The sequence below is a fragment of the Homo sapiens genome, chromosome 2 (assembly GCF_000001405.40).
Source record: "Homo sapiens chromosome 2, GRCh38.p14 Primary Assembly".
Taxonomy (NCBI): Eukaryota; Metazoa; Chordata; class Mammalia; order Primates; family Hominidae; genus Homo; species Homo sapiens.
The window spans coordinates 135348778-135361576 of record NC_000002.12 but is presented as its reverse complement, the minus strand read 5'-3'; the positions used below and the strand labels follow the sequence as shown (position 1 = coordinate 135361576).

The 12799-nt window shown below is 38.0% G+C and overlaps 1 protein-coding gene across 3 annotated transcripts in view; it reads left to right on the top strand.

Annotated features, from left to right (window-relative positions):
• The window catches only part of ZRANB3 (zinc finger RANBP2-type containing 3), a 334250-nt gene that overhangs the window by 169642 nt on the left and 151809 nt on the right, over positions 1-12799 (top strand). For all 3 annotated transcript variants that reach the window (NM_032143.4, NM_001286569.1, NM_001286568.2), the window contains exons 4-5: positions 7949-8127; positions 11362-11593. In NM_032143.4, coding sequence (NP_115519.2) covers positions 7949-8127; positions 11362-11593 — 411 coding nt within the window. The remainder of the gene's footprint in view (positions 1-7948; positions 8128-11361; positions 11594-12799) is intronic.

Below are 12799 nucleotides of genomic sequence, written 5' to 3'. Positions count from 1 at the left end.
TCGAAAAATGTCAATGAGCATTTTTAATGCATAGAAATAAAAATTGCTTTATAAAAGTAATCACAGTATAAAAAAGTGAAACTGAAATTTTATGTATCAGGATAATTGTTATTTAATTGCTCTTAATAATTTCATAGAATAAAACATTTAGGAAACCTAAAATTATTCTCCTAAGTAAAATGGTGATTTACAATTTTGAAAACATTGATGAAATGTGTTCTTGAGGTTAATGTATTCTATTTAATTCTTATGTAGCTACCTGGACATTTGTACTATTGTTTATTCAAGACTTTGATTCTTAATCATTGATTTAGCCTTAATGGTGATGAAACACTGAAGAGTTCCACATTAACAAATTCTATTGTTGTTAGAGCCCAGGGCTTTGAACCACATGTTGAGTGTAGTTATTCCTGTATGCCTAAATTACTTGAAGTGTGTTGTTGCTTTTATAATTGAATGCTATGCTGTTTTCAATTCTTTTCAAAATACTGAAATCTGGCCAAGTGCGGTGGCTCACGCCTGTAATCTCAGCACTTTGGGAGGCCAAGGCAGGAGGATTGGTTGAGCCAGGAGTTCAAGACAAGCCTGGACAACAAAGTGAGACCCCCCCATCTCTACAAACAAACAAACAAACAAACAAACCAAAAACAGGCATGGTGGTGTGCACCTGTAGTCTCAGCTACTCAGGAGGCTGAGGTGGGAGAACCGCTTGAGCCCAGGAGTTTGAGGTTGCAGTGAGCTGTGATCAGGCCAGGCCACAGCACTCCAACCTGGGTGACAGTGAGAGCCTGTCTCAAAATAAAAACAAAAACTGAAAATCTAAGTACATGTTTTAAAAGTTTATTTTTTATTTTATTTTATTTTATTTTTTTGAGACGGAGTCTCACTGTGTCACCCAGGCAGGAGTGCAGTGGCACAATCTCCGCTCACTGCAAGCTCCGCTTCCCGGGTTCACGCCATTCTCCTGCCTCAGCCTCCCAAGTAGCTGGGACTACAGGTGCTCACCACCACGCTTGGCTAATTTTTTGTATTTTTAGTGGAGATGGGGTTTCACCGTGTTAGCCAGGATGGTCTCGATCTCCTGACCTTGTGATCCGCCCACCTTGGCCTCCCAAAGTGCTGGGATACAGGCATGAGCCACCGTGCCCAGCCAAAGTTTATTTTGTTTTATCTATTTATTCATTTCTTTATTTTTGAGGTGGAGTTTCACTCTTGTCGCCCAGGCTGGAGTACAAACGCATGATCTCAGCTCACTGCAACCTCCGCCTCCCCTGTTCAAGCAATTCTCCTGCCTCAGCCTCCCGAGTAGCTGGGACTACAGGTGTGCGCCACTATGCCGGGCTAATTTTTTTGTATTTTTCATAGAGACGGGGTTTCATCATTTTGGCCAGGCTAGTCTCGAACTCCTGACCTCAGGTGACCCACCCGCCTCAGCCTCCCAAAGTGCTGGGATTACAGGTGTGAGCCACTGTTCCTGGCCTTAAAAGTTTATTTTAAAAGGTAGTCCTTTTCAAATTTTATTTAGAACTGAGTCATTCTATGTATTATTCCTTTCTTTAATGGGAATATGAGATTATGCCAATATACTTTTATTTTCTAATTTAGAACTATGTATTTTTCTAGTTTGTTTCATCAAACTTTATTTCCTACCTCACCATGTCCCAAAAATGAACAACCAAAAACAAATACCTAAGAAAAATAGTACCCAAATGTTTCACTTTGTATTGATAAATATCTTTCTAATTTCTGAGAATCACTTTTAGTCATTTCACTACATAATCTTTAAACTAAAGAGATGCTGAATAAGAAGTTGGGGGTTCTTACCAGGAAAGATAGCTGGACAAAAACTGAGTGTCAGTGTCAGTCCTAATACCATAGGGTATGATCTTCAAGTAGATTAGGAAATGGGTAGATTAAGAAATTTTCTTTTCTTCTTTTCTTCTCCTTTCTTTTCTTTTCTTTTCTTTTTTCTTTTCTTTGTTTCCTTTTTTTTTTTTTCAGGGTCTCATTCTGTCACCCAGGCTGGAGTGCAGTGACGTGGTAATGGCACACTACAGCTTCAACCTTCTGGACTCAAGCAGTCCTCCCACCTCAGCTTCCCCATTAGTTGGACTGTAGGCACATGCCACCACACCTGGGGATTACTAAATTTTTCTATAGAGACAGAGTCTCTCTCTGTTGCCCAAACTGGTCTTGAACTCCTGGCCTCAAGCAGTCCTGCTGCCTCGGCCTCCCAAAATGTTGGGATTACAGATGTGATCTACTGTACCCAACCAAGAAATTTATTATTTTCAGTGACAGCAAGTTGATCAAATCCTGAGATGTTTTACTCTAGCTAATAAAGCTCAAGGAAACTCTTTTATAAAAATCACAATGCCAGTTTATTAACGTATATTGAAAGATGGCTTTCCCTTTATCATGGTCACCCTGAAGAGATGCAATGGACCTTTCCACTCAAAATTTCATTTGGATGTCGAGGCTGATGATGCTACCCAGACATGAAGAGGGTATGAAAGGGTTTATTACTGACATAACAAGTCTTTCTGGGATGAGGAGGGCAGGCTCCCAAGTAGATATAAAAATGACTTGAAAAAAAAACAAGGAGAAGAGACAGGCATAGTCTCTTATTGGGCTTATGGGGTGGGGTTAAGGTGAGGGTTCTTACCATGTGGGCCGGGGCTTGCATAGCTTGTATTTCCCACCAGTGCCAAAGGAAATAGCACCCACACTTTCGTATCTGCTTGTACACAATTGGGGCAGAAGGGTAAGAGGGCTTGCATGTAAACATCAAAAAATGGAGTGAGACTCTTTATTTTATCCTTCTGTTTGCTTCCATTGCTTATTCTTATATTCAGCACATCAGCTTTGCAAGACCAATCCTTGCATGAGTTATACTGAAGACTGTTTGACTTGAGAAACTTTTTTTTCTTTTTAAAATGACTTCATATTTCTTAATTGGTACTTAATGTTTTACATTTCATACTTCTTAAATGGCAGTCGTATTTTTTTAGGTTATTAGGAAAGTATGATATGATAGCTGGGAACAGGAAGAAAATGTTCAGAATTTTGAAAACCTAACAAAAATAATACATTATTAGCTCCCATAATTTGTTTTTTCCTTTTCAGCTGCCTAAATTCATCACCGAATATTCAATTTATCTTCCTTAAGCCTTAAGCAACATAAGTCAAACAGGCTGCTTCTACTTGTTTCTCTCAGAGACTATTCTGTCTACTTCCCAAACTATGCACTGTGCATGTAGATACGAAGATAAAAATCTCAGAGAGGAGGAAACTTGAGAGAATTATAAAGAAAATCTGCATACACGTTAGCCTTAAGTCTTTGGCTATTTCCTAAACTATACATGCACAGAATGAGATCCCAAGAAACCTAGAAGAAATATAGAGTTGGGAAGGATAAAAACTAAGCCAAGATTTTAGCAGTATTGTGGTACTAAGTAGACAGAGATGGGGTTGAGCCTTGTTGAGGTAAGAAATTGTTTACAGATATCTTGCGTTGGCTTCTGTTGACCCCCAGAAGGGCCATCTTCTATAATAAATAGCAGGCGCTGGGAATAAGGGCAACAATGAGTAAACTTGCCCTTTAAAAGCGTAAAACCAAGTCTTAAAAGGAATGAGGTATTTGCCGTTACTCAATTTGCCTTCCCTAAGAAAACTTAACCTAACCCCTCTTGGGAGAAGATACTACTACCCAAAGCTTCTGTGAATTTTTTACTCAAGATATCTGGTGTTAAATTAGAAAATATGAGGGATCCTGAAAAACTGGTACCAAAAGGAAAAGGAAATAGAGCCCACATGAGATCAGATGTTGTTATCAGAGAGAGACTTTAAAATAACTTATTTTTTTGGCTGGGCATGGTGGCACACACCTGCAATCCCAGCACTTTGGGAGGCTGAGGAAGGCAGATCACTTGAGGTCAAGAGTTTGAGAACAACCTGGTCAACATGGCAAAACCGTGTCTTGGCAAGGCGCAGTGGCTTACGCCTGTAATCCAAGCACTTTGGGAGGCCGAGGCGGGTGGATCACCTGAGGTCAGGAGTTTGAGACCAGCCTGGCCAACATGGCGAAACCCCGTCTCTACTAAAAATACAAAAGTTAGCCGGGAGTGGTGGCATGCGCCTGTAATCCCAGCTACTCGGGAGGCTGAGGCAGGAGAATCGCTTGAACCCAGGAGGCAGACATTGCAATGAGCCGAGATCATGCCACTGCACTCCAGCCTGGGTGACAGAACAAGACTCCGTTTCAAGAAAAAGAAAACAAAAACCCTGTCTCTACTAAAAATAACAAAAATTAGCCAGGCGTGGTGGCACTCGCCTGTAGTCCCCAGGTACTCAGGAGGCTAAGGCACGAGAATCACTTGAACCCAGGAGGTAGAGGTGGTTGCAGTGAGCCAAGATCATGCCACTACATTTCACCCTTGGTGACAGAGTGACACTGTCTCAAATATAAAACAACAACATCATCAAGAAAATCAGCAAAAAGGTGGACAAAAAGACGTTTCAAAGGAGAATGTAATCTATTAAAAAGAATGTAATAGATTGTAAAAAATGTAATTAATAGAATGTAATCTATTAGGCCGGGCATGGTGGCCCTCACCTATAATCCCAGCACTTTGGAAGGCTAAGGTAGGTGGATCGCTTGAGCTCAGGAGTTCGAGACCAGCCTGCCCAAAAAGTACCAAAAAAAATAGCTGGGCATGGTGGCACATGCCTGGAGTCCTGGCTACCCAGGGGGCTGAGCTAGGAGGATTGCTTGAGCCCAGATCGAGGCTGCAGTGAGCCACGATTACGCCACTGCCCTCCAGCCACAGCAAGACCCTATCTAAAAAACAAACACACAAAAAAACCCCAAGAATTTTTAACATGTTAGAACAAAAACAACAACAAAAACAGATTCTAATGGACATTTTAGAACTGAAAAATAACATCTGGAGTTAATTCTAGTAGATTTAATAGATTAGATACAAGAATACAGAATTAGAGAACTAGAAGACAAAAATATTCAAACTTCTAATCAAATAAACTTCCCAGCATATCAGGATTCTTCTTATTCTTACCCATACTTATGCTAGTTTCCCTTTTCTTCGCCTGTCGTCAACCTAAAACTTCTTTTTCTTATTTTTTCTTTAAAAATATTTATTTGACAAATAAAAATTATATATATTTATGGTGTACATTATGTTGTTTTGAAATATGTATACATTGTAGAATGGCTACATTGAGGTAATTAACATATGCGTTACTTCACATGCTTTTTTGTGATGGGAACACTTAAAATCTACTCTCTTTGCAATTTTTAAGAATGTAGTATGTTGTTATTAACTATAGTTACCCTGTTGGACAATATATCTCTTCACCTTATTCCTTCTATCTAACTGAAATTTTTTTTTTTTTAATTCTACCTATTGTTTCAAGTCCCAATTCTACGTATCCTATTGAAGGCTTACATACCTGATCTCAGTAGACAAGATGAGGAAATTTTGAGGAGTGGCGGTCTTTGGGAGAGAGTTGTCTGGCAAGCCAACACAGAACATTGTTAGTCATACATGAAGTGCAAAATGTATAGATAGACAGGTGACTGGCACCAAGTAAATTTAGCAGCAAGAAGCTGAGGTTCTAGTGATAGAATCTGGGTTGCAGAGAGAGAATTCTGCTTTCCAGAAAACCAGGGAAGCAAAACAGATCCTATTTCCAGATAAATTGAAATTAAGAAAATGTGTTATGAAACCATGGCAGGAAACAAAACCAAAGACCCCTAACCATAGCACAAAGTTAGTGGTATTGTCCACACACAAAAAATAGGGCCAAGCCTCAGTTCCTGGAAGTCTGTTTTTGGCAGAGTTGTTGAGGCGGGGAAGTGGCACACTGAATAACTCTAGCCAGGTAAAGATCTGTAATTGTTGGCCGGGCGCGGTGGCTCATGCCTGCAATCCCAGCACTTTGGGAGGCCGAGGTGGGTGGATCACCTGAGGTCGGGAGTTTGAGACCAGCCTGACCAACATGGAGAAACCCCGTCTCTGCTAAAAATATAAAATTAGCCAGGCGTGGTGGGGCATGCCACCTCAGCTACTCCAGAGGCTGAGGCAGGATAATGGCTTGAACCTGGGAGGTGGAGGTTGCTGTGAGCCGAGATCGTGCTATTGCACTCCAGCCTGGGCAACAAGAGTGAAACTCCGTCTTAAAAAAAAAAAAAAAAAAGATCTGTGATTGTTAAAGTTCTGCTGTATTGGAACCAAGTTGTTCCCAGAATCCAGTGATGTTTGAGTGGCTTCGGGTGTGAAAATTGGAGGGCTTTGAAGACACGGAAACATACTAATTATTATCCAACGAATGTGTAAATATAACTTTGCATGAATTCTAAGATTGCTTTTTTGTTGTTAACAGGAGCAGTTAAAAGAAAAATACATAAACAAAATAATAAAGTTTTCTCAATGGAAACTTGCTTAAAGTCCAAAATCTGCTCTTTTCTCATTTCTTTAGTTTTGCTCAGCATTTAAAATTCATTTTTAAACTCTTTGTTTTCAGTTTCTGCATTTTTCTTTTTTCTCTTTGTATAGTCTGGTAAACAGGGCCTGTCTTTTAGTCTCTCTTTCCCATTGTTTGCCATAGTAACTACTAAAAAAGTAAGGATTATTGAGGTATAATTCACACTTTTATGTAAATTCACCCATTTTTAGTGTACAATTCTGAGTTCTAAAAAATGCATAGGTTATGTTAACAGCCACTAACATCAAGGTATAGACCGACTCCATTCCTAAAAGTTCCCTCATGCTATTCCCCTCCCCCACCTCCAGCCCCTGGCAACCACGGATCTGCTGTGGCTCCCTTTTGTTTTACTTTCCAGAATGAGACATATAAATAGAATCATAGAGTATGTAGATTTTGAATCTGGCTTCTTTCACTTACCGAAATGCGTTTTAGATGTATTCATGTTGTGTAGAGCATGAGTTCATTCTTTTTTTATTACCGAATAGTACTCCATTGTATGAATATGACATCATTTGATTATTCATGCACAGGTGAAGTACATTTGAGTTATATCCAGTTTCTGGCTATTTTGAACAAAAACACTATAAATATTCACTAAGTGACTACTTTTTAAATTGGAACAGCTTAGAAGTCAGGCATTGTGACAGTGTGGATACAAATCAAGTGGGAAGACACCTGAGACCTGGGATCTCATACGAGTTTTGCATCAGCCAGCTGTGATTTAAATAATTTAACTTCTCTATGTCTGCTTGTTTTGTAAAATGTGCATCATTCAGGACTTACTCTAGTTTTGAAATAACATGGTTTTGTGCTGTTAAGACATTTACTATAGTCTAAGAGGAGAGACTATAAATGGTTACATACATTTTATAAAACTAATTATATAAAATCAACATAATATTTAACCTTAGGAGTAATTTTGTCTCTTTAAGTTCAATCATGAATAGTTTGAACATAATATGATTTGCTTAATGAATTTTACAGGTCCTTATTATCTCAAACTTTTTATTAACTGTATAATCCAACTAATTTTACATTGGAAAATTATTTTGATAATACATTTTTTTTTAGACAGCCTTACTCTGTCACCCAGGCTGGAGTGTAGTGGTTCAGTCTAGGCTCACTGTAGCGTCAACTTCCTGGGTCCAAGCAATCCTCCCACTTCAGCCTCCAAGTAGCTGGAACTACAGGTGTGTCCTACCACGCCCAGCTAATTTTTTGTACGTTTTTTTATAGAGACAGGGTTTCACCATGTTGGCCAGGCTGGTCTCGAACTCCTGGGCTCAAGCGATCCACCTGCATCAGCCTCCCAAAGTGCTGGGATTACAGTCATGAGCCATCACACCCAGCTAATAATACTCTTAAATAAAATGTTTGATAAATATTTTCTTTTAAAATATTTTAGGCTCTATTATTAACATTTATTTATTTTTTAATTTAGATGGGTCTAGGAAAGACAATCCAGGCAATTGGAATTACTTACTTCTATAAAGAGGAATGGCCTCTGTTAATAGTGGTCCCTTCGTCTCTGAGGTACCCTTGGACAGAAGAAATTGAAAAATGGATCCCAGAGCTAAGTCCAGAAGAAATCAATGTTATTCAGAATAAAACTGATGTTAGGTAAGAACAACTGTTTAATATTTAAGGAGAAAAGTCTTCCTTGTGTGTACCTGGTATATATTCATGTTTTAGAATGCAATATCACCAATAGATAATAATTTAGAAGTGGAGTAAGTAGTATGGAGAATTTTATTTTACATTTTAAAATATGAATTATTTATCTAAAACCCAATAGTATATTTTAGTTCTAAGTTCCTTTATGGTATATTTTTAAAGTAAATGTAAAATACGTATACTTTTAAAGATATATGTAGTATATCTACTTTATATATACCTTAAACATATTTGAAACCATCTTAAGGTTCAGAAATAAATCTCACAACTTTTCATTGATTGACTTGAAGCTTTGTGATCGTTTATTATCAGCAACTTCAGTGGATTTTGCTTTCCAATTTGTTAATTAATATGCAAGTTTTGTGTGTGACTCATTAGTAAGTTTGATTTTCCTTATTTATAATTTTAATATTTTATATCTTGAAAATATTTGCTTTGTGTTTATTTGAAGCTCTCACTCTAAAATCTGTTATAGTGTTAGTATTTTTTTCCTCATTTTGCTTTCTAGCAATTAGAATAAGACAATCAGTTTGAGTATTGATGAGTTATTACATGGAATGTGTAGGTGATTCATACAAATTATGTCTCTGGAGGTTCAAAGTTATCTATTTCTGAACCTTAAATAAAAAGCAGTACAGTACATCTACTGAAATAAATATCTGTTAATACTTAGATTTTTAAATTTTGGTATTATTGTACTGTATTGTATTCTCTAAGACTGTTAACATAAAAGGTATATTTAAAAATAAAGTTGTCTTACGAATGTGGAAGGAGGAAACACAAAATGTATGGAGGGCCTTTTCACTTTCAACCTTGAAATGCTAATTCAGTAGCATGTATCTTTATGGGCCCAAGAAAATCTGGACTCTATTTACATGGTTAAAATGGAAAAACTGCTATCTTATCCTAATTATTATAAATAAATCTCCTCTCCAATAAAACTGAATGAAATTGAAAAGACTTACAAATTTAGAGAATGTAGAATTTTTTAAGGCCTCCATAACCATCATCTGTTTGGTATACCTTATTTATTTAATTTAATTAATTAATTTTTTTTTTTTTTGGAGACGGAGTGTCACTCTATCGCCCAGGCTGGAATGCAGTGGCACCATGTCGGCTCACTGCAACCTCTGCATCCTGGGTTCAAGGGATTCTCCTACCTCAGCCTCCCGAGTAGCTGGGATTACAGGCACCACCACCACACCTGGCTGACTTTTTTTATTTTTAGCAGAGATGGGGTTTCACCATGTTGGTCAGTCTGGTCTCAAACTCCTGATCTCAGGTGATCCACCCACCTCAGCCTCCCAAAGTGCTGGGATTACAGGCGTGAGCCACTGCACCTGGCTGATAAACCTTATTTAAATGTTCACATTTAAATTTTCTTAAAATGACTCTTCTATCATCTTTTATAGCCACTAGGGCATCTAGTTTTTATATTATTTTGAAAATACACTCTTGCAGTTAAATGGTGGATAATATTTTTATTTGAATAGTATTTGGGATATGTTAGATAGGAGTACAACTCCAGAGTATAAGTTTCCTGGAGGATGTTAGTTAAGGACAGAAAAACTACCCAATGTCTTCCAGGTACTTAAAGAAACAGGTTTAGGTGTATACCAATATGTCCACCACAAATACATATACTTTCCTTCTGGCTTATATCAGTTATGCCTGGACTGTTTACAAGTCAAGACATGGTAGGATAGAAGCTACAGATTGCTGCAGTGGCCTTTGAAGCCAGTCTCCTATATGTTGCTCTCAGTATACCTAAGTTAGTTAGTAATATTAAATAACCTATTACTTTCTTCTTCAGGCTCTTCTGGTGTTTGAATACAGTGAGAAAATTATAGGTCTCGGCCAGGCACGGTGGCTCACGCCTGTAATCCCAGCACTTTGGGAGGCCAGGGCGGGCGGATCACAAGGTCAGAAGATCGAGACCATCCTGGCTAAAATACAAATAATTAGCCAGGTGTGGTGATGGGCACCTGTAGTCCCAGCTACTCGGGAGGCTGAGACAGGAGAATGGCATTAACCTGGGAGGCAGAGCTTGCAGTGAGCCAAGATCATGCCACTGCACTCCAGCCTGGGCAACAGAGCGAGACTCTGTCTCAAAAAAAAAAAAAAAAAAAAGAAAATTATAGGTCTCTGTATTAAGTAGATTAATCCAGGGCTTAAAATGCAGTAGCCATAGTGGTTCTGGCTGCTTAGGAGCTCTACCTTTTCTGTTAGAGGATAGAGAATTGAAGAAGACTGGCTCTGTCCTGTATTTTTTTCTGGTGATATAGAAAATGCAAAAGTGATATGTCTTAGTATTATTGAATTTATTTGTCTAATTATTTCATTCTACAAACTTTATTTGGGATCATAGCACTGTGTATGAATACTACTAAAAGATGAATAAGACACATTCCCTGCCCTTACCAATCTCATGATATGGTAAGAGACATAAATATGTAAATGAATAATTTATTGACAGCAAGATACAGAATATTACAGATGTATGAATTATAGAAATCTAAAGATCAGGGATCATTTTAGCTTAATGGTTCTTGATGTGAGGTGGTACCCGCTTCTTCTAACCACACTTCACATTTTATCATCTCAGGTCCAGGAAGCTTTTTGTTGTCACAAAAGCTTCGGACTCCACTGTCCTTTAATAGGTAGGACCAGGAAATGAAGCTCTGCGGTGCACTGAACAGCCCTGTTAAGTCTGTTCTGCTACTGGTATTTTGAGCAGGAGGGCCTGTTCAGTGCACTGCAGAGCTTCACTTAGTCCTGCTCAAAATACCAGTAGCATCTGGATTGAAAAACTGCTATCCTATTTGTGTGAAAGTTTCATTGAAGAGTCAACTAATATTTAAGTATCCATTTTATGCATGATCCTAGGTGCATAGAAGCAAATATTGTCAGAAACTAATGTGGCTTGCTGGATGTCAAAATCTTTCAAAGATCATTTAACTAAAATTTTGGTTTTGGTTAACCAAAACTGTAAATTTTGGATCCTGGTTTATTATATTTGAGGATTGTGAAATCTTCAGAGTTTCAGTAGTAGTACCATCTCCTTTTATTTTTCCTCTATTCTTCTTTCTTCTCCTCTGTATTTTTTCCCAAGAGAGTTGTATTGTTCATGATAACGTCATTACTGAGATATTTTTTAAGTACATGGATTTTCTTTTCTAGGAGAATGTCGACCAGTAAAGTGACAGTTCTGGGTTATGGTCTCTTAACCGCAGATGCAAAGACTTTGATAGATGCACTGAATAATCAGAACTTCAAAGTAGTTATAGTGGATGAATCACACTACATGAAATCCAGAAATGCAACTCGCAGCAGGATTTTATTGCCAATAGTACAGAAAGCCAGACGAGCCATTCTTCTTACAGGAACACCAGCTTTAGGAAGGCCTGAAGAGGTATTACAATCCTTATACTTCGAACTTAAAAGAAGAGAAGGGGGGTGGGAGGCGTATTGAATCAACCACCTGTTTTGCAATTTTTAATTTCAAATTAGATGCCTTAAATGCTAGAGGAGTACATTGGGAATTTCTAGATAGTACGTATGTTTTATCATGGCTATTTTAATATATTTACATTTAAGCCTTAGCCAAGCTTGTAGGTATGTATAAAACATAGCTTTTACCTTTATTATAAGGCTGCCATATTTAGTACAACTTTATAATATTCTTCATAATGTGTTCCTGAGGTTCTTCTATGGTCTTAATCTTCATTTATCCTATTTTACATTATAAGCTTCTTAGGGTTGGGATTGAATCTACCTTATTTCTTTTACACTGCATTTCAGAGCTTCTGTCTGTTCTTCTTTCACTTTAAGAGTCACATTTGGAAAAGTAAAGAGAAACTAAAACTTACGTGCAGACCAGATAAGGTATCTGCTTAGAATGAAAGAATAAGGCATGTGTTTGATACCCCATTTAGCTTTTGCTACTCTAAGAGATGGGTAGTACGTGGAATGGTTAAAGGGTTAGGAAGAAGACATGATGGAAGAAATGTCTGTAAGGTTTAGTGTTGTTTAAGGAGGCTCTGTTTACTAATGAACACTGAATCTTAGAAAAACATGGGCTGTCATGTAGGGTTGCTGGGAGAATTAAAGGTAATACTGCTTTGAAAGTTCCTCACCCTATGCCTTGTCACATAGTAAGCACTCAACATATGGTAGCCAATGTTATATTAATTTTTGAGCCAAGCCTGGGTGACAGCTATTGTCATTGCCCTGTCTAACAGTATTACCTAAGCTCTGCTTTTCAATTCTATCCTGGAAATCTTGTGAGATACATATAAAAGTACATAGATAGTGATGATAAAATGCTTAATTTTACCTTTTATAGTTTTTACTCTTGGATGCCCACTGACAGTGCTGTAGCTCCACGTAATTGACATTATGTCCACAAATTATGTCAATGAATAATAGGGGTGATGATATACTTAAAAAAAATCATGAAACGTATCCTTCAAGATACTCAGTCCTACTGAGTCCAGAGAGTCGGCTGGACTCAGTAGCTCATACCTGTAATCCCAGCACTTTGGGAAGCCGAGGCGAGTGGATCACTTGAGGCCAGGAGTTCAAGACCAGCCTGGCCAACATGGTGAAACCCCATCTT